This window comes from Homo sapiens, chromosome 3, assembly GCF_000001405.40.
Source record: "Homo sapiens chromosome 3, GRCh38.p14 Primary Assembly".
Classification (NCBI taxonomy): domain Eukaryota; kingdom Metazoa; phylum Chordata; class Mammalia; order Primates; family Hominidae; genus Homo; species Homo sapiens.
The window spans coordinates 191,368,073-191,389,926 of NC_000003.12; the positions used below are offsets into that span (position 1 = coordinate 191,368,073).

The 21,854-nt window shown below is 35.2% G+C and overlaps 1 protein-coding gene across 3 annotated transcripts in view, besides 1 other annotated feature; it reads left to right on the forward strand.

Annotated features, from left to right (window-relative positions):
- Window positions 1–21,854, forward strand: part of CCDC50 (coiled-coil domain containing 50) — a 69,266-nt gene that overhangs the window by 38,679 nt on the left and 8,733 nt on the right. Inside the window, exons 5-11 of one of the 3 annotated variants that reach the window (NM_178335.3) lie at window positions 1,847–1,964; window positions 6,990–7,517; window positions 12,087–12,202; window positions 12,615–12,659; window positions 12,756–12,860; window positions 14,674–14,753; window positions 21,424–21,530. In NM_178335.3, coding sequence (NP_848018.1) covers window positions 1,847–1,964; window positions 6,990–7,517; window positions 12,087–12,202; window positions 12,615–12,659; window positions 12,756–12,860; window positions 14,674–14,753; window positions 21,424–21,530 — 1,099 coding nt within the window. Of the gene's footprint in view, window positions 1–1,846; window positions 1,965–6,989; window positions 7,518–11,588; window positions 11,639–12,086; window positions 12,203–12,614; window positions 12,660–12,755; window positions 12,861–14,673; window positions 14,754–21,423; window positions 21,531–21,854 lie in introns of those variants that run through there. The other 2 variants (NM_174908.4, XM_011512460.2) reach the window with 2 other exon arrangements.
- Window positions 8,728–9,022: a silencer, noted in NCBI's record as "tiled region #6572; HepG2 Repressive non-DNase unmatched - State 15:Elon". NCBI's record gives its function as "represses a minimal TATA promoter and a strong SV40 promoter by Sharpr-MPRA in HepG2 cells {active_cell/tissue: HepG2}" and the evidence as "EXISTENCE:reporter gene assay evidence [ECO:0000049][PMID:27701403]".

Genomic DNA, 21,854 nt, shown 5'->3' on the forward strand with positions numbered 1-21,854 from the left:
TTCAAACTTTCTATTGTACAGATAAAGAATTGAAGTTCCCCCCAAATTTATATCAGTAGTGACTATTTCTCTCCCAATGTCTCTTTAAACCATGTCTGACTTGAACTGGAAAAGAGATTAATTTTAACTTTCAGATTTAGGAGATAGTTTTTCCATCAAAGTCTTAGAAACTCAGAGTTCTATTCATGAAAAGTATACTTATGTTAAGTAGGATTATGATATCTTTTACCTCTCCCTCTGAGTTGCATCATTTTGTGAGTGCTCACTTAAGTGTCTGAAACTATTGCATGGACATTTACATAGATTACTTATCAAAAAAATACGTATATATGTGTCAGTTAAAAGTGTATTAATGGTGTATTTTAAGTTTGTATTTGGCATAAAGTCAGATTTGTAAGGCTATTTGGATGAATAGTAAAAAACAGCTGAGGATATGGATAAATATTGCTAATTTACCTAGAATGAGCATCCAGCTTGTTTCTGCATAGATGTGAAAAAAATTAATTCACTTAAATTTTCTTTTGAAATTTATATTGCCATCTGAGGGTATTCTTCATTCGCACCTATTCATAAAATTTGAAGAATAGTAATTCTTTAAATTTATAACATTAACATTTAATATTTCTTGTATTCCTTATGAACGATAAATATAAAGAAGTAAGTACCTCAAATTACCAATGATTGTTATTACCATTTGTACCAGTGAGTATTATTCCCATATTTGTATGAGCCTTTAAGAATCTGATGATAGCTATTGACTTCTCTCCTTAAAAGTGTGCATGAACATATAAGTTTACAGGCTATTTTATGGGGCTTTCATAGAAGTAATCTTCAGATTCAGAACATTGTCACTCTGCAGCTCAAAACCTTTAGTAATCCTCCATCCCCTTATTTTAACAGACTCCAGACTTCTTAAGATTGTCTAAAAGGAGTTCCTGTGATCCAGCCTTAGACTGTTTTTCTAGCCTCAGCTTTTTCTACAACATTCCGTATCTCATGTTCTAATTTAACCTTAGATAGGTGCTCATTAAAATGTTCATAACTCTGCTGATGTTTTCTTTTTCAACTTTGCCTGTCGGAATTCAGTTCTTTGTTCAAAGCCTAACACAACGCAAAATCTTGTACTAATTCCTTTAAGCAAAAATAGTATTCCCTCTTTTGTACTCCCGTGGAAATTTTTTTGAGGCATTTACAATTTAATTTTATTGTAGTTACTTTTTTTTTTGAAAAGTTTCTATGAAACTTTTGTGTTCATAAAGGGATGATAATCTTTTAGGAAACATTACGGAATGTTATTCATCATTCTGTCCCTCACAGTGCCTCTCACTTAATGACTGCTAAAAATTTGCCTGGGGATGAACAGGTGGGAGACAGAAGGAAGATTGTTTTCTCTTTTTTGGTTAAGACAGTGGTATTCTAATGCAAAGCTAAATCAAAATCTCCATAAGAATTCTTTTCAAAAGTTTTTAAATTATAAAGTTTTGTAGATTACTACATCCTGCCCAATCTAGATTTATTGAATCATCAGTTTGGAAAGAGGGCCCACAAATACATATTTTTAAAATTCTGTTGTGTAACCTGCTTTAGGAAGTACTGAGTTTTGAATGTCTTCCATGTTGTGGTGGATTTAAATCTCAATTAAAAAAGCCTGTCTCACTTATCTAGATCATGTGCTACTCCTGTTAAGCAGTCATCTGGCATTTGAAGACATGAAATTAATGCCAGAAAGTCTAGAGAGCCATGGACAGAGCACATACAAACTTGGCAGTGGAATGTCAAGCCCCACCATATGGAGTTTGTTTGTTCTTTGGTAATGTGTATTTCCATTCTCCTCTTGTCTTTGCAGGACATAGCTCGCCTTTTGCAAGAAAAGGAGTTACAGGAAGAGAAAAAGAGAAAGAAACACTTTCCAGAGTTCCCTGCAACCCGTGCTTATGCAGATAGTTACTATTATGAAGATGGAGGTAACAATTCCTGCATCATGATCTATTCTATCCTTAGACTCAACCATAAAACACTCCTTTAATTTTGTTCATAAAGTGACCTTAGGGACCTGGGACTGTTTCTCTTATCCCCAGGCACTGGGTACATTTAGATGTGTGGCAGGATTCTATTTGAATCTAATAAATTCATGTTTTGTTTTGTTTTGTTTTTATTATACTTTAAGTTTTAGGGTACATGTGCACAACGTGCAGGTTTGTTACATATAGATACATGTGCCATGTTGGTGTGCTGCACCCATTAACTCGTCATTTAACATTAGGTATATCGCCTAATGCTATCCCTCCCCCCTCCCCCCACCCCACAACAGGCCCCGGTGTGTGATGTTTGCCTTCCTGTATACATGTGTTCTCATTGTTCAATTCCCACCTGTGAGTGAGAACATGCGGTGGTTTTTTTTGTTTGTTTTTTTGTTTTTTTTTTTGTTTTTTTTGAGATGGAGTCTTGCTCTGTCACCCAGGCTGGAGTGCAATGGTGCTATCTGGGCTCACTGCAGCCTCCCTCTCCAAGGCTCAAGCAGTTGTCCTCCCTCAGCCTCCCAAGTAGTTAGAAATACAGGCATGTGCCACCACGCCTGTCTAATTTTTGTATTTTTAGTAGAGGCGAGGTTTCACCATGTTGGCCAGGCTGGTCTTGAACTCCTGACCTCAAGTAATCCGCCCACATCAGCCTCCCAAAGTGCTGGGATTACAGATGTGAGCCACCGCGCCCGGCCTTATCTGTTCTTTAGTTGGACAACCAGAGCCACTTTCATGATGGCTAAAATTTGAATATGATTTTATGAGAATTGGCATGCATTCTTTTTAAACTTTAGCGACTTGGAATGCTTTATTATAATCTAAGCACATAAATGGGGTGTGGAAAATGGTCGATGAGTCTCTGGACTTAACCTTTCTCAAGAAGTCTGGAAAGTACTGTTTGAAGCAGGAAAGTGGTATGAAGAAAGAAGGTATACCATGCATCAGTTACTGGGTAACAAAGCTTTGTTCTGTGCTTTCTTGCCTTTTAAACCTAGGCCGATGGTTTAGCCTGCTGATGACAAACAATATTAAATTTTAAGATTTCCATGTTCATTTTTTTCTTTTGATCCTTTCTTTGCTATTTGATTACCATATAGTATGATTTCTGAGGGGATGATTCCCTCAGTTTCGCTTCTCTGGTGCCTGCTTTGCAGGGTGGTGATGGTGATGGTGATGGTGTGGTGGTGGCAGTTGTGGTGATTCTTTATCTTAAAAATGTGTTGGGAAATGAGTATTTGCAAGTGTTGTCGAGTCCTTCTCAAAGACTTGTCAAAGGAAAGATGTTTCCTGTAGTTTCAAGTGTCAGTATTTAATGAAATTCAGCTTGAAGACCAATACTTAGGATCACAAGTGAACAAAACCTAAAGGCAACTTTCAGAGAGTCAAGAATTTCAGGTCAGTGATCCTGAAGGGCCTTGCAAACCAGTCATCAACTGCTTTTCTGTAATTCCATTATAAAAGGTAAATATGTGTTTCTCTGATGAGTAGAATGAAAGCAGTGTATATGTAGATAATGGGATTATTACAGTTTGAGTATAATTTTGCCCAGTAACATTTTTTGCTCTAAATTTACCATAATCAGTAGAGCTCAGCCTTTTTAGTAAGCAGGCTGATTCACAATTTATTGCTTGATATGTTCTTCCTCTGTATGTAAAACACTCTTCTCTTTTTTGATAGCCATTTTCTTTATGCTGGTTTTTCTGATGAATCTATATGTTATGTCATTTAAAAAGAAAAATTATTGCCACATTTTGCTGTACTAAAGATCAGAAAGCAAAGTGTTACTCTTCACCTTCAATTTAAATCTTAGAAATGTGGCCTGGTGTTTTTCCCTTTTTTAAAAAGTCTGCTTTGGAGGTATATTCACTGTAAACGTTATTATTTTAAACTGTTCAGTCTGTAAAAACATTAGGATGACAAGGAATTAAATGCATTAAACTGTTAATTTTAGCATTCCCCTCTTAAAGCCTTATACTGACTTGAATTGAGACTCAAACCTGTTTTTTTGATCAGAGTGCTGTCATTCTGATTTGTTTCTCTAGGGCAGGAGACTATGTTAAGAATTAAGTGGTTTTTCAGGGACACATAAAAGCTTTTAAAAGTATTTTATATTTATTTTAATTACTCCGATAAATTTGTAGAGAGTGGCGTATATGCTTGTTTCTTTGGGGAGAGACAGACTTTGAGGGAGTTTTGAGGAACAGGAAGTGGTGACCTCCTGAACATGTGTATGTAAATACTGAAATTTCTCTTGCCTCAGCTGTGTTGTTATTGGGAGGTTATGTTTTGTTGAACATGGAGTCCTCATTAATATGCCCCTGTGTTAGACCAAGTGCAGTTCCACAGAAACCATATTATAGTTCAGCTCATATTTACAAAATAATCCTTCTGGTCTTTGCAGTGGTCCTTTTCCAACACACCTGGGATATTCTTTCATTGTACTTCTCTGTATGCCTTTGTATATCTATTTGATTTTTTGCCTTACTTGCACGGTAATCACAGTATATCATTACAGAAATGGTCAGTTTTTCAACTTTTAACTCAAACTTTAATACATTATCTATTAGAATGATTATGGATTTTCTACAAATTTGAAATTGTATAAAAACATTTGTCAAATTTATATCAACTCAAATGATATATATTATTTATTAATGAATCCATGTTTTTCTTTCAAAGCCACTTATTGAAGTCATATTAGTGATTTTTTAAGTTGTGGTCTTTGGAGTCATAGGACTGTGGTTCAAGTCCTGTCCCCTCCTAAGAACAATATTAATTTTAATGAAGTTACGTACTAAATAAAATGGAGATTATAAAAGTAAATCCTTCATTTGGATTTGAGAAGATCAAATAATGCAATTTTGGTGAAGTACTTATTTATACATATATCGGTGTTATATGTGTATAATGTAATATTTTGTGTATCTTATTTTGAAAGCCAAACATGGAGGCACTCATATAAAATGCAGATATATATGTGTATAAATATGTGTGTGTGTGTGTATATATATATTATGTATATGCCAATACATAATACCTATGTATGTTTTGGCAGTGAGGGAGTAAGTTATATTTGCCAAATAACTTGGTCTCAAGAAACATACAGGTCTCAGTCCTCAACTGTATGAGGTTTTAAAGCATTCAGATAGATTCCTCACATTATCTTTTTCTTTCCAAGATTTAAAGCTGTCACAGCAAATTTATTATTAGAGAATAAACTTTTTCAGTCAGCTCTGTAAAAATGTAGTAACAGCTCTGTAATAATTCCTGCAGCATATTTCCTAAAAGTAAAACTATGAATATCTATTAACTATTTAGAAGGAATTAAAAATCATAATATCACAAATTCATGTCAAAACCCAATTCTTTTTGTTTATTTTGAGCTGGAAGGTGGACTTCACTTGTGCAACTCTGAGTGAGCACATTTTTATTAACACCGTAAACCATTGTTCCCCGGATGTGGTCATCATTTAAGTGGCTGGTCTGTATTATATAAATTTACAGCAGTAGTCACTTGATTCTCATGTTGTCACGATAGTCTTAAAATAATAGTTTATTTAAAAGAGCAGATAATTTGTTTTTATCACCGGGTAATTCTTCTGTTTTGCTTTTGATTTTATGTAAAATAAAACTTACCCATAAATGATGAAGATAAATACTTCTACAGACTGTTTAGAAAACAAATTTTAATTTAGTATTGTCTTGGGAAGCAAGCTTTCTTTTCTTCTGGAAAGCACAAGAGGAAACAATTTGAGGTTTTTAATGGAAACTTACATAATTGGTACATTTAGCACATACCTCTTTCTTGCTCTGTTCCTTTAACAGATTAATATCAAATGAAACAGTTTAAAGGAAAACGTATAGTTTTTTATTTTCTTTACATCTCATCAACTTACGGTAGCTCTTTCAAATGCAGTTCAGCAAGTGGTTAATTCCATCGGGGAATCTTAGCTTTCATAGCAATTTTCCATGGAATTGGGATTTTTCGTTGTTATTTCCAAAACGTAGTAAAAGTTTTAGAAAATGTTAAAATCAGTATATTCTTATAAAGTGCATATGCATTTGCTGCCTTTGTCTTCACATTATACTTGTGCCTAAAAAAGACCTGAAAAAGAATTATTTTTGTGCTGTTTTTGAAGTTTATATTAAATTTGGGGACATATACTTAGCATATATTATATTTTTCTACAAAGAATACAATATCATACAGTTTTTTGAAATGTATTTAGGAAGCGACTCCTTTTTATATATTCCATCAAGGCAACCCTTTAAATTTTTTTCCTTTGCCAAGTTTCAACTAAGATTGAGAACAGAATTATCTACAGATAACAGGGTCATGAACTCAAAATTCTCATCTACTTGATCCTCTTTTATATTGAACTGTAATAGAGGGCTAATTTCTGAAGTGACTGGGTATGTTTGCTTTGGCCACATAAAGTGGGCAGATGGAGGCATATAAAAATCTGTGGATCATTCCTCTGAACTCAAGAGAAACTAGCAATATTCTGATAGTTTTATTGGCATTTCCAGTAAGAATATTTGAAAGCCTCTGTCTGAAATTACAAAGCTTAATTTTTTTGTTTTACAAGATTCCTCAACCTCTACTTTTTACTCTATACTAGTTTCAAATTGGTTTATAAATAGAACTTAATGTTTAATGGCTATAATTTTGTTATTGGCAAATATTAAAGTGTTGTTAGCTCTACCTAATCGTGATCAAGCTCTTCTTTCACATTTGTTTCACTTTAGTTTCTTACCATTTTGGCTATGTACCCAGAATTCTTTAGGTATGCATGAACTGTTTCAGTAATGCTCATCCCCTCTTCTCAATTTAAGTTGAAAAAGCAATTTTCTCCATTTTTAAAGTACGTTAAACTGGAGCCCAGACTCCCCCCTGTGTAGTGAGTTCATAACTCTCATTAAATTAATCTGCATTTTTATTTTTCACATCCCTCTGCCTCCACTCAGACCAACCAGGGTCAAGGAGGGCCAGGGAATTGGGTTCTGGATTCTCAAGACCTTGTAGACTCCAAAGAGATGGAAAGACTGTGAAGCACAAGAAAGAGAAACCAGAACATCCACTGGAGAACTTGGAAGAGCCAGAACAACATTGTTCATCGAAGAGATCCCTGTCATCCTCTAGCTCGGGCAAAGGGAGGGACAATCCCCATATTAACAATGAGCAGCATGAAAGGAAACGGTCCACTCAGGAGAGGCCTCGGAGACCTCTGCTTCCCACGATCAGTGGTGAAGTGTTTCTGAGCACTGAATGTGATGACTGGGAGACTAAGATTAACCATCAGACTCGAAATTGGGAAAAACAGTCTCGACACCAAGATCGACTTTCACCCAAGTCCTCACAAAAAGCAGGGCTTCACTGCAAGGAAGTTGTATATGGGAGGGACCATGGGCAAGGTGAGCACAGAAAAAGGAGACACAGGCCCAGGACTCCTCCATTCTCAGAGAGTGAGGAGCAGCTCCACCTCCATGACGCAGGTAATAGAGGACAGTCTCGATGGAAGTCCTGGTATCATGTATATAACTACAAACCAATGAATTTAATAAGTACCTTAAGCAACCTTTCTTTCTCTCTAGTTCATGCTCATGACTTTGAAATAAATCCTAGAGCAACATATTATAAAAGGTATACACTTAATCTCAGGTCTGTAAGAAGAAGGAAAATATTTGTAACTTTTCCCTTCTGTGAGAATGCACTGATTTCTTGGAGAGTTATTCCATGCCCAGGTTGTATTAGAGGTACCCATTCCAGATATAGTTCTTCATTTACCGAGACTGTGTATCAGAGATTCTGATACCAAATCAAAACTCCTGAATTTCTGGTTTTACTTCAGTGAACCCAGAAGAGCTGATGAGCCTGTCTTGATAGTGTTTGTCTAACTAAAAGGCCGATAGAGCCGGAAATACTGTATTTTTTAGACCTCATCTTTCTCATTTGTAAAATGAGGAGTTGGATAGGCAGTCTTTTAAGAAAGTATTTTTCAAATAATATGCCTCAGTTCATTTTCATCAGAATCAGCTGTTAACTAACAATGGAAATGTCTGGGTTTCACATGTATTATCATCTCTGGAGTGAGGCCTGGCAGTTTGGACATGTTTTAGACCTGGAGGTGGATTCTTAGGAACTTAAAAGTTTAAAGTCATTGCATTAAGTTACTTTTTATGCTGTAACTTTCTCCAGCTCTAACTCTACAGTTGGTGTTCTAAAGTACCAATACAGGTAAGTTCTTGGTACCTATATAAGAATGAGGTAAATATTATAGATAAACCTCAAATTTCTGGCACCCCTGAGGCTTAACTCTGAAGTCCATCATTGACGCAGTAATGGCTCTATTTTCTATAAACTGCTGAGGTGATGTTTTCCATGTGTCTGTAACACTAGGAATCATAGTACCAAGGAGCCAGTCAAGCTCTATCTGTGGTCAGAGAACTTGTTTCTAGGTTGCGGATTCAGGTTAAGTTGGTTTTTCCTGTCATGTTATTTCTTATTGAAGGACTTGGTTATGCAGAAAATTAAAATTTAGTTCCAGAAGCCATTCTGAGTAGCTGCCACAAATATCCTTGTCTTAGGCTTTGTGCTTGGATTTCAGCCAGAAAGATGGCTTTGTAAACAATTCCAAACTAGATCCACTTTGTTAGGAAGACATAAAGAGCTGCGGAAAAATAGAGGAAAGTGTGATATAATCTGTCTTGAGTAGGTTTATGAGGAGGTTACACCCCTAGCATTTTGAGGTTTACAAGTTCCAAAGGTGTGGGGGAAGTATGGAGGAAGAATGATGTACACTGACCTCTACGTTTCTGCTTCTGTGAATCTGACTTTCACGAGTGCTCTGAGGGCTAGTTAGGCTTTATGGCTTTTAGTTATGCTCCAGGATATTTTAAATAGGCTGAGGAAGCATGACACTAAACGCTGACTCACAGGCTCCACTACTGGAATTGCAAATGTTTTGTTTTTTATTTTGCCAGCACAAGGGATTGAAAAACAATGTTACCAGGCGGATATTAAAACGACTACAACATGAGCTGCTGCTTTTCTATCATTTTATATTCAGCTTGCTTTTTATATTTTACCTTTCTAGCCCCCGTAGGCATTTGATTTTGTAACTCCCTGGAACAGGTCAGAGGATTACATTAAAATATAATTACTAGGTAGTGGCATCTATTCTTGCTGTTGTAAAAGCACAATTCTTAAAGTTGTTAGGACAGGCCAAACTTACATTAATAATGAAGAAACTAGCAGGATGACACGGAGCTGGTTCTAAGAGCATTTGCAGAGCAGCATTAATAGAATCAGTTGAAAGGGACTGCAAAATAAAATTTTAAATTAAGTATAAGATAACTTTCTACAGGGCAATGGGTACTTAACCTTTCGGAGTTACTTCTCTATTGGACTATAAATTCTTAATGGCTCATCATTTTCTGCAGGTTAACTTCTAAACTCACAGGGCCATAAAATATCTGCACTGTTCTGCTGTGAATTGTTAGTCAGATATACTGTGGCATTCCCTAAATGTCAGACTGGCTTATTACAAATACTCTTACATGATATCAAAAAGAATCTATCATTTTACCTTATTCCAAGCTCAGAATAAATTTATCTTGACTGTCAGTACTTTCAACAATTTTATTCTGTAAATTTATTTAAGGCTGAAGTTTTGTGTTCATTTAAGGATGTTCTTGTGTTCTCCATCTGAAGGATGATGAACAGAAAAAGACAAGGAAATGTGAAATTAAGATATATATGGAACTTGAAAATACCACTCACCTGATTTTTTGAAAGCTAGTTTCTAGAGTCTGTTTAGGATACTGAGATGAGGGAAGCTAGTCTGTTAATTTCCTTCAGTTAATTACATTTAAAAAATTTTTGGACATCTTTGTTTAATGACGGCCTTACACTGCACTGTGAGTTCTTTTTCTATATCCTTACAAAAATTTTTGTCACCTTGGGTCCAGAGGACACTGCAGAGAATGGGCATCCTGACAGTGCAGAAATTTAGTATTCCAGGCTGTGGAGATTTTCTACTTAATGAGATTTACAGATTCCAGTGATACATCAAGGGTTTAAATAAACCATTTCCCCTCTAAATATTTGGAACTGAGAGATATTACCTCAGATTCTGACTCTTACTAAGTCATCATTCTCTTTTTAACTGCCAGAGGTTACAGTCTTATCACCCTGTCAAAACAATTAGACTATTCAATGGAATATTGTCTTTGGTAGAATTTAAAACAATGTGTCTTTAATAAAACTGAAAGTGAAAAATCTTCTTGGCTAATTCTGTGGTGTACTTTAGGAGGCATAATAGTGGAGAAAATTTGGTCTCTTGAAATTTGAGCACATCCCACTGTATTATTTCACTGTATGGCAAAAGTGAAGGAGGTAGGCATGTTCTGTCATCCTTAATTAAGCTTTGGGCTGCTTATTGAAGTATCATTTTTTCTATAGATTGGAACATGGTTTATATAGCAGACTATCTTGTCCACTGACATTGCCCAGTACTGAGTTCCTTATCTAATTTCATTTTCTCTGAAATCTGCCTTCCTAGTTCTGACTAAGCTAAATAACTCAGGGAGATTTATATTCTATTTCAGATGGTCCACTCTTGGGACTATGCCACTGTTTTTTTGTTTGTTTGTTTGTTTGTTTTTGCTGTCCCAAACCACTTAGAAATCTAGATTAAGCCCAGCCCAGCATAAGACTCCGTGGCTCTAGAGTTGATTTGAAGTGATCTGTGCAATCAGGTTCTATTAGGTCTGAAGCTAAGAAAGCCATGTTTACTAGTCTGTCTTTGTAGGAAATACAGATGTGTATGAGTCTGTGGCTTCTGAAGCCGCAGAAGCCAGGTTGAAAGTTGTACAAAGGTGGGCTTCACAAAATACTTACATTCTCATCATTTGCCCAGTGTTTACTTGTATTTTATTTTTTTAAAGATTAACAGCAAGTGAGTCAAGTGTGGTGAGGGATTTTGACAAAAATCATTTTAATTTACAGTAATTTTAATGGACATAATACACTAAACAGGTGATGCCAATATTAATTGCAAGTAAGAATGAACTGGGGAGATTTAAAACAAACTTACTCAAGGACAGGGCACACCCAGGCTACTTAATTTAGAATCTGTGGGGGTTGGGGCAAATATTTTTATACGTGTTCAAAGCACCCTCATGTGATTCGAATATATAGCCCTGATTGACAACCCCTGGCATAAAGAGACAATCAGGAGTACATTTTCTTTCTCCTCTGAATAGTTAATTTACTGAAATGAACTATTTCAGATAAGTAATCTTGTTCACTGTATTCAAAATTTTTATTAATTCTGAATATAATACACTCACACTGTCAAGTAAAAGTTTAAAGCCAGAATTGCTTTATAGGAATAAATTGGAATAGAACTCTGGTCATTGTGCTCTCAATATAGCTCTGATTATATTTTCCCTAAGATGTCACAGTGCTATCAGTCTGATCAAAGCTGTGGGGAAGTTCTAAAGCGAGTGGGTTTATTTACTCTCAGAGGAAAAGCCATGGCAGGACCACTGCTTGTCTCACAGGTATTATCACATGACTGCCAGGTGCTGCTGTTCCTGCTCCCTCGGAAGTAGTAAGTATGCAGGCTGAGATAAATAGAAAGAAGCCTCTACTCTCCTCCAGCCTTGACAGCTTAGCCTCTTTTAAACTCTGACTCTGTAATTTGCTTTTCTTTAAATTATTTTTGTTTTCAATGACTTTTTTTTCACTTTGTATTTTTCCAGGGCCTCACTTGCAACTTCTTACATAAATTTCTGCTGTTGCAGAAACTATGTGAGAGGGGACTTTTTACCAGGCAGGCTTGCTTAGATATCTTTGTTTAAATGTATGCATTATCTACATTGCCACTTCCATTCCTAGGGCAAAAATATTTTTAATGCACCCCACACTGTATTCTGGAGTAGAGGTAGTATTGTCATTGTTAGCTACTAAAGAAAAATCTCCTTTATCTTAAATTTCTTAACTTTTCAGAAAACATCCTCGGTTGTTTTATTACATTGAGTTTTTTTTTTTTTTTAAAGGAATGAAGCCAAGAGTGATGAAAGAAGCTGTATCTACTCCATCACGAATGGCCCACAGGGATCAGGAATGGTATGATGCTGAAATTGCCAGAAAACTGCAAGAAGAAGAACTTTTGGTGAGCAAATTTTAAGGCAAAAGTTTAGATATATTGATGGGTATTTTTTTTGTGAATCTAGTCCATCTTGAAATTATATTAATAGTCCTCTATCAATTGAGAAACCTTTTTTTATGAGTGGAAAAATCATGACAATAGGAATAGAGTATCCACTTTTGCTTAGTGAGTAAGCATTAGCAGCAAAGTCCATAACTCCATTTCTCCATCTCCATGATTGTTCTCCATAACCCTGCTGTAGGATTTGATAAAAAGAGCTCCTGCTCTGGCTGGTGAAAGCATACCAACTGATTATCAACCTCAGGAACATGAGTCACAATTATTTTCAAAAACCAGCTTATTTTGTACAAGATACTGAAAATGCACAACATAGATTCCAATTAAATTCTTTGTTTTTGTATTTTCGATATCATAGGCTACCCAGGTGGACATGAGAGCCGCTCAAGTAGCTCAAGATGAAGTAAGTTAATGAGTTTAGCTGATATTCTTTGGAAATATCCTAGTATATTTCTATCTGCACCTCTGCAGTTAATGATATTGACTGTATTTTGTTTAGGAAATCGCTCGACTTCTAATGGCTGAAGAAAAGAAAGCTTACAAAAAAGCCAAGGAGCGGGAGAAATCATCTTTGGACAAAAGAAAGCAAGACCCCGAGTGGAAGGTAGAGTGTGTTTTGTTTGTTTTCTAATTAGAAATAAAATTAGAAATGAAAAGGGGACTCTGCTTTTGAGTTAAGCTCTGCAAATATATTTAGGATATATGAATATATAAATTATCTGTATTGCATATGTGAATCTGATCTGTGAAGATTCCATCACCATGAAAAATCACTGAATTTTGGAACATATGTAAAAAGTTACTGCTAAGATTGAAAACTCATTCTGTTCCCTTTAAGACGGAGTGAAATGCAAGTGCTTCTGGTCATGAACAGTCTTAGTTTTCATATACAGTACTTTGATTATAGAAGAATATAGCATTTTCACATGCTTTCATATTTTCCACAATGAACTTCTCTTCCCGTCTCTACTTTCTTTGTGCTTACATTATCTTTCATCTCTATCATGTATCCGTTTCTCTTTCCTTTGATGTAACATGGTTTGTGGCAGACTGAAAGATACATACTTATCACCAACAATTATTATTTATGTCACAGTGCAAGACCTATCTAGCGTGAGTTTGGACGGTTATCTTTCCCCTCGTTGATCAGAAATTGTAGACAAAATAAGCAGTTACTGCAATTCATTTTGCTGCGGTAATTGTGAGTTCCAGCTTAGCAGACTTTATTCATCAGTGACAGCGCGTAAGACAACACTTTGGACCTCCATGGAAAGACAAAGACATTTTTCCTGATAGTAGTGTATAATGTAGAGAGGAAGACAAAGTGTAGACAGCTAACAAATAGAAGGTTAAGCTAGGTGGAAAAAGAGCAGAGGAATAGGGAGAGAATTCGTACAATACAGGGTTTTTAGGGAGGGAGTTTAGGCCCAGAAGAATGAAACCTAGGTTGTGTATTCCTTACACAGTTGGTGTTTAGCGCTGGTCTCTCTTGAACAAATTCCTCCATTGGGTTTCTGGTCCCACCTCACAGTCTCAGTAATGGTTGTGAGGAAAAAGGTGTAGAAACCCTGCTAATAGTATTGCTGTACTCTTTCCTGTTGCTCAGTTACCCACGAGTTAGTCTCAAAACAATGAATGTATTATTCTCATATTAATTATGTATATTTAGCTCTCTCTTAACTAACTCAGTAATTCAAGATTTTTTCTAATATACTGTTTTAGTCAAGGATTCCCAAATACTTTTGTTAAATAAATTAAGCCACAAATAATTACCCAGGAGTTTCTCAGATTCTTTGCTACCTTAACTAGGAAAGGGTAAGTATTTAAGGATTAGGAATCAAGCGTGTCAGAAGGCAATGGCCACATCTCTAGCAGGTATCATCATGACTTCTGTAATTTTTATTTTATAACTGGTACTGATACAGTTCCTCTCTTGGAAAAGTTGACTTGAATGTGCCTTAGTTTACTGGCTGGAAATCAGCCTAAGACATGTGTGCGGAAATAAGTTTGAGTGCACAAACCTGGATTCCGTAGACTCTGGGCGTGCACTGGTTCTTGGCAATTACTGTGTAGCTATTATGTTAATAATCAGTGGCCAAGCACACCCATCTAGGGAAGCATGTTCCTGTGTGTTCAGCCCATTCCTCTGGCTGCTCTAAGGCTTTCAGATGAGTGGGCTAAATTACACCTTCCATGTAAGCCCAAAGCCTACCTTTGCAGCTATAAATTTTCTACCTCTGGAGTGGCCATATATAAAAATATTTTATGTTCCTCAATTAAATATAATTAATCTGAAATTACTAAGGAAGAGCTTGGCATGATAAACATACGTTAAACTTAATCTTTCCCTTTGTTTGATGATTCTGGATTGTATGTGTGTGTTATTTTTGTTTGTTTGTTTGTATTTTTGTCCATAGCCAAAAACAGCTAAAGCAGCAAATTCCAAGTCAAAAGAGAGTGATGAACCTCACCATTCTAAGAATGAAAGGCCAGCACGGTAAGCTGACACCTGAAAAGAAAAATGAGGAAGTTGACTTTGGGGTGAATAAGGAGATTTCAGTTCCCTAAGAAGAGTGTATGTTTTTTGGAGAGGAGATCCAAAAATCTGCATTTGTAAGGTAGTGTCAAGACATTCAGGGTTATTTTTAGAACTTTATTTCCACTCTTAAATTGAGTTGTGTACATCAAATCAGAATTTTACAATAGTTGGGGTGGATAAGGAAGAATGTACTTTTTGTTAGGACTGATTCTTACCTCTGCATTCACTGAATTTATGCTTTCAGCTTGGGGAATGAGAGTGATTTTTTTTCCTAAATAAAATTTCGAGTTTTAAATATTTACCGGGTTTCATAGCCACACTGATGTGTGCATGCCATTTGCACATGCTCAAACTCATTTCTTTCTGAGTCTCAGTGTCCTTGACAAAATCTTGAATCCTTGCAGACTGTCTAAATCCCACTCAACAAATAGCTGTGGCTATGGTGTACATACTTTCTGATTTATCTCAAACAGTCGTGCATAATAGTTATGGAGCAGCTGCTGTCTTTCTGCCTCAAGTTGTCAACATTTAAGTCTCTGGGGAAGTAACCTCTTTTTTTTTTTAATTGCTTTTTGTTGCCTTTCGAAAGAAAACATGATTGGAATGTGAAGAAAAAGATACTAAAAACAAGACAAAAAAGTAACACTAAGTTTAAAATTTTGAAAACTCTGAATTATTCAAATTTGAATTTTATTCTTATTTGTTAATTCTTGAAACATAACGCTTATTTCATTGAATAATTGACACTGTTGTTGCTACTCATGCCCACACTGAAGCTCCTAGACTTGTTTCCTTCAAGTGAATGTATTTAGTGTCCTTAAAAAGTAATCCTCTATTTTAAAACTCATTTGCTTTCAGAAGATAATCTTTCAGAAAATTACATTGGGTTTGTATTGCTCTGAGAAGAATAGTGGCATATTCTGTCTAGTTATATAAAATCTTTCTGTTGTAGCTTTTGGTTAAGCACATGCCAAACATTTTCTTAGAACTCTATAGGTTAGTACATTCCCAAAGTATCCAAGTAAAAGAAGCAGCAGCTAATCTGTTCTTAGTAAGTAAATACATCTGGATTATTATCCTTTTTTTAGTCAAATGAATTTAAATCATCTTTAGGCTTAATTCTGCAGTCTTCAGATCCTTGGCCTCTTTAGAATACTAATACCATTGACAGCATATATGATGGAACAGTACTGGATGATTTCTTAAGAAAGTTTATTAAAGTCTGAAAACAAGTTTTTGGAATATAATAGATACTTTAGAAATATTTGGCATACTGAAAGAGTGAATAATCAAATGATCCTGTATTAAAAATGGCTATTATAAATGAATGAAAAGTGACTTAGGGCTAGTAGAATAGAAATTTTTGTTTTTACCTTAGAGGAACATTTGTCTTTAAATGTCATTTTAGCAGGATTGTATATATGACCAAAAAAATGAGGAATTTTATGAAACCTGTATTTTCATAGTTAAAAGATAAAGCTTATATATCTTGCATATGTAGATACCTTGCACAACTAATATCAGAATGTATACTTTCTGGTTAGAATCTGGTTTTCCTCTTTCACATTTAATCATGATGGAAAAGTTTAGCTATACAGAAATATTTGGTTTCAAGGATTGAAAAACATGGCACTTCCTAGGTCAAGATGTTTATTACTGAAGTGTAGTAATAGTAGTAGTGAGACACAAATTCTTATGTAGAGCTTGTAATACTTATGGTTAGAAATCCAATTTCTTTGTCTGTTACAGAATTTTCTACTCTTCGTGTATGTGTGTTTAACTTTTGTTGTTATTTTTCAAAAATTGCCATTTTTATTTTAGATTCTGGGGATACATGTGTAGGTTTTTTTTACAAGGGTATATTGTGTGGTACTGAGGTTTGTACTTTTATTGATCTTGTCACCCAGATAGTGAACAGAGTACCCAGTAGGAAGTTTCTCAGCCCTTGCCTCCCTCCCTCCTTTTGGTGTTCCCAGTGTCTATTATTCACATCTTTAAGTCCATGTGAACCCAGGATTTAGTTCCCACTTATAAGTGAGAACATACAATATTTAGTTTTCTGTTTCTGTGTTAATTCACATAGGATAATGCCCTCCAGAGGCATCCCTGTTGCAGCAAATGATATGATTTCATTCTTTTTTGTGGCTGTGTAGTAGTCTATAGTGTATATGTACCACATTTTCTTTAATTAACTGTTGATGGGCATTTTGGTTGATTCCATGTCTTTGCTATTGTGAAGAGTGCTGTGATGAACATACGAGTTCATGTGTCTTTTTGATAGACTGATTTATTTTCTTTTGGGTATATACCCAGTAATGGAATTGCCAGGGTAATGGTAGCTCTATTTTTAGTTCTTTGAGAAGTCTCCAAACCGCTTTCCAGAGGGATTGAACTAATCTGAATTCCCATCAACAGTGTAAAAGTGGTGTTCCCCTTTCTCTGCATCCATGCTAACATCTGTTATTGTTTGACTTTTTCATAGCCATTCTAATTGTTGTCAGATAGTATCTCATTGTGGTTTTGATTTGCGTCTCTGATAATTAGTTATGTTGAGCATTTTTCATGTTTTTTGGCTGCTTGTATTTCTTTTGAGAAGTGTCTGTTCATATTTTTGCTCACTTTTTAATAGGGTTGTTTTTTCCTTGTTCATTTGTTTAACTTCCCTAAAGAGTCCAGATATTAATCCTTTGTTGGATGCATAATTTGCAAATATTTTCTCCCATTCTGTAGGTTGTCTCTTTACTCTGTAGTTTCTTTTGCTTTGCAGAAATCTTTAGTTACATTAAGTCCTATTTGTCTGTTTTTGATTTTGTTATATTTGTTTATTTGTTTTGGGGGTCTTCTTAAATTATTTGCCTTGGCCAGTGTTGAGAATAGTCTTTCCTAGGTTTTCTTCTAAAATTTTTATAGTTTAAGGTCTTGAATTTTTTGTATATGGTGAGAGGTATGGGTCCAGTTTCATTCTTCTGCATATGGTCAGCCAGTTTTCCCAGCACCATTTTTTGAATAAGGTGTCCTTTCCCTATTGTTTATTTTTGTCAACTTTGTCAAAAATCCCTTTGTTATAGGTGTGCAGCTTTATTTCAAGGGATCTGTACTCTGTTACATTGGTCTGTGTGTCAGGTTTTGTACCAATACCATGCTTTTTTGGTTACTGTAGCCTTGTATAGTTTGAAGTCTGGTAATGTCATGCCTCCCTTTGTTCTTATTGCTTAGGATTGCCTCGGCTATGTGGCTCTTTTTTTGGTTCCATGTGAATTAAATAGTTTCTTTTAAATCTGCAAAAAGTGACGTTGGTAATTTGATAAGAAGTTGTTGCATCTGTGGATTGCTTTGTTTAGTATGGGCATTTTTTTTTTTTTTTTTTTTTTTTTTGAGACGGAGTCTCACTCTGCCACCCAGGCTGGAGTGCAGTGGCACGACCTGGGCTCACTGCAACCTCTGCCTCCTGGGTTCAAGCGATTCTTCTGCCTCAGCCTCCCAAGTAACTGGGATTACAGGCACCCACCACCACGCCCAGCTAATTTTTGTATACTTAGTAGACATGGGGTTTCACCATCTTGGCAAAGCTGGTCTTGAATTCCTGACCTCAGGTGATCTGCCCGCCTCGGCCTCTCAAAGTGCTGCGATTACAGGCGTGAGCCACCGCGCCTGACCTGGACAGTTTAATAATATAGATTCTTCCAACCCATGAGCATAGAGTGCTTTTCCATTTATTTGTGTCATCTATGATCTCCTAGACTTGATAAACAACTTAAGCATAGTCTCAGGAAACAAAATCCATGTACAAAAATCAGTAGCATTTCTATATTCCAGTAAGCTTCAAGCTGAGAATCAAATCAAGAACTCAATCCCATCTACGATAACCACACACACAAAATACTTAGGAATACTTCTAACCAAGGAGGTGAAAGATCTCTATGAGGAGAACTGCAAAACACTGTTGAAAGAAGTTTTCTACTGTTTTTAAGGAAATAGAGGATCACTTAGCAATCTGAATTCTAACTCTTGTAACTGGAAAAAATTTCAACCCATGTTCCAAATTGTTTTAACTACAGGATTTTATACTTTTAATATTATTTGTTATTCTACTTGCATTTTTTCATAGGAAAATTAAATATTTTCTAAATCTCATTTTATTCCTTGTGCATTCTTATTAATGTGAAATACAGTTGTCTCCATTTATTCATTTATCAAGTATTTATTGAGCACCCTATTAATTGCTCACACATAATTGGGGTACACATCAGTCAACAAGAATGAACTCTGTCATGTTCTCATGAGTTTATAATCTAAACAAATAATTATCCAAATAACTGTTATGATTGTGTTAAGTGCTATGGATGAAAAGTACAGGATGATAAGAACATAGGGAGACATCCTGGTTTAAGTGTCTAGGAGGGTTTCTTAAAGAAGTGAATTTTGAAGTGAATTATGAAAGGTGTTTGGCTGTATCACTAAATTAAAGATGTAAATGATTTCATGAGAACGGTAGGAAACAGGCAGTCTTAATACAATAAAACTGTACAACAAAGTTAGTTAATAAGATTTTTCTAACTTGGATATATATGCTGTAACTTTAAAACAATTGTCTCAGGTATAACAAAATAATTTGGTGTAGGACTCTTGGCAGCAGTAAGCCAAGATTTGTTCTCTATGTAACCTGAAACTAAACAGAACAGTACCCTTAAGAGCACTGAAGTACTCTTAAGAGCATTCTAGATTGCTCTTAAGAAGTACTCTTAAGAAGTACTTAAGAAGTACTCTTAAGAGCATTCTAGAACAGTACCCTTAAGAGCATTCTAGATTGATTTGTTTATCCTTACATGGACATGCTAGAAAACTTGTGGGCATCCTGTGCTTTGTTTCATAACTTTAGCATACTTTTCCTTGATGAGTTGATGGTGAGGCACTAATCATGGATTGTTTTTGTGAGTTCCACTCAACGTCTGTCTTTCTGATTTTTGACTGCCTAATGACATTAATAAAAGAGAGAAGAACAGACTGGGTCATTCTAACTACTAACCCTGTTTTCTTGGGCCTGAGTCACTTCTTAAGCCACTTGTTTGCTTTTTGAAGCTAAGTTCTTTAATCCTAGAGTCAGACTGATTTGTCTTAATTTTTCTACCAAGTCTTACATTGTTTATTAAAGATAAGTGTTAAAAATATCAGGTATTGGAGAAAAATACTATTTAATTTCCAATATTGGTAAACAAATGATTTAAAAATAAAAATTAGAAAAAATGCATTATTCACTATGTTTCCATTACTTTTATATATATATATATAAAACAGATGCATGAAATGATATTTGAAAGTATAAGTACAATAACATATGAAAGTATACTTCTGAAAATATACAAATGCATATATATAAACACACATATATACATATAGTCTTTTATACAGATGATGCTGCTCCTGATAAAAATACACACCTATGTAGTAGAGTAGTTAAGAACACTGGTTTTGAAATCCAGTTGAGTTTGAGCCCTGGGTCTGCCACTTAACAGCTGTGTGAAAATGGACAGATTATTTACCTCATCTAACCTAATCTGACTCAAATATGTATATGATAGTTAGCATTAGCATACAGACTTGTCCTGAAAGTTAATTGAGATAATCTGTGTAGAACCTGTAGCATGGTCCTCAGCACATATGCCAGTTTATATCCCATGCTGACCTCTTCGGGATGCTGAATACCCAGGGAAAGATTTATTGCATGGCGACAAGATAAAAAATTTGGAAACACTTGCTTTTATTTTTACATGACAGAGCCCATTGTACCAAACCAACTATAACTTTACAAACTTCAGAATACTTATGCCTTCTAGATTTTACATATAAATGTACAAAATGGCCTACAGTATGGTTATATTTGATAAATCTTTGATATATTGATAAATTTGATAATCTGGTGCTATCCTTTAGTGCAAACTTTGAGTATACCTTTGGGAGATAAAGAATGAGAGGTTTTCTGCTTCAGTGCTACATGTTTGCATAAATCTATGTTAAGTAATTTTAATAAAAAGTTTAGAGTAGTAAAAATTATATCTTTTTTTTTTTTTTTACATTTTTTGACATAAAAAGTTGCGAATGTATTACATAGAATTTGCAAATGTATTAAGATCTGTTTTGCCACCTAGTGGATAAAGGAACTTTGCTCATGAAATTTTGTTTCTGTTTCCTCCCTCCTTTCTGTCTCTTACCCTTCCTTTTTTCTTTTTTTCCTTTCCTTTCTTCCTTGGCTTTATTATTTTCTTCTTTTCTGTTCTTTATTCTGTTATTTTTTCTTTGACTTGGTAAGACCTACCAAAACAAAGTTTATTTCTTATAAATGGCAGCAGTCACATCTCACTAATCTTTGTTTATTTAGCCCAGTTCCTAACATGTATTAGTTGTTGAGGAGATAATTGTTTGTATTGAATTATGACATCAAAACAAAGGAACGGGAAGATAAATAATTTATTCAAGGCCATGCAACTGTCCAGGAACTACAGTGTGAATTCTGAAGCATTTTGGCTTTTCATTTCACAAGAAAATGTTTTTAGCTTGCAATCCAGTAAGAGGGGTGGAGTTGTAGTAAGCGTTACTTAGAATGCCCCTTTAAATTCTGGATTCCTTTTAGGCCACCACCACCTATCATGACAGATGGTGAAGATGCGGATTACACTCATTTTACAAACCAGCAGAGTTCCACACGGCATTTCTCAAAATCAGAGTCCTCTCATAAAGGTAAGAAGAGTATGTATGGTCAAGTTTAGGATCTTCTTTTTTTATATAAGCCTCGTGTTGTAGTGGAAAAATCAAATTCTGTGTTCCACTAGAGTGGAAAAATAAGTTATTCTGTCAGCACATTGTTATAGAACTCCTCATTTATTAAAACAGTAACAAAACAGAAAACAGAACACCCTAAATTTTATGTAAGATATTCTGTGTATTTGCATTTTCCTCGAGAGGGAGCACAACGCTTTCATCAAATTCACTTTTTTTTTTTTTTTTTTTTTTTTTGAGTCGGAGTCTCACTGTGTTGCCCAGGCTGGAATGCAGTGGCATGAT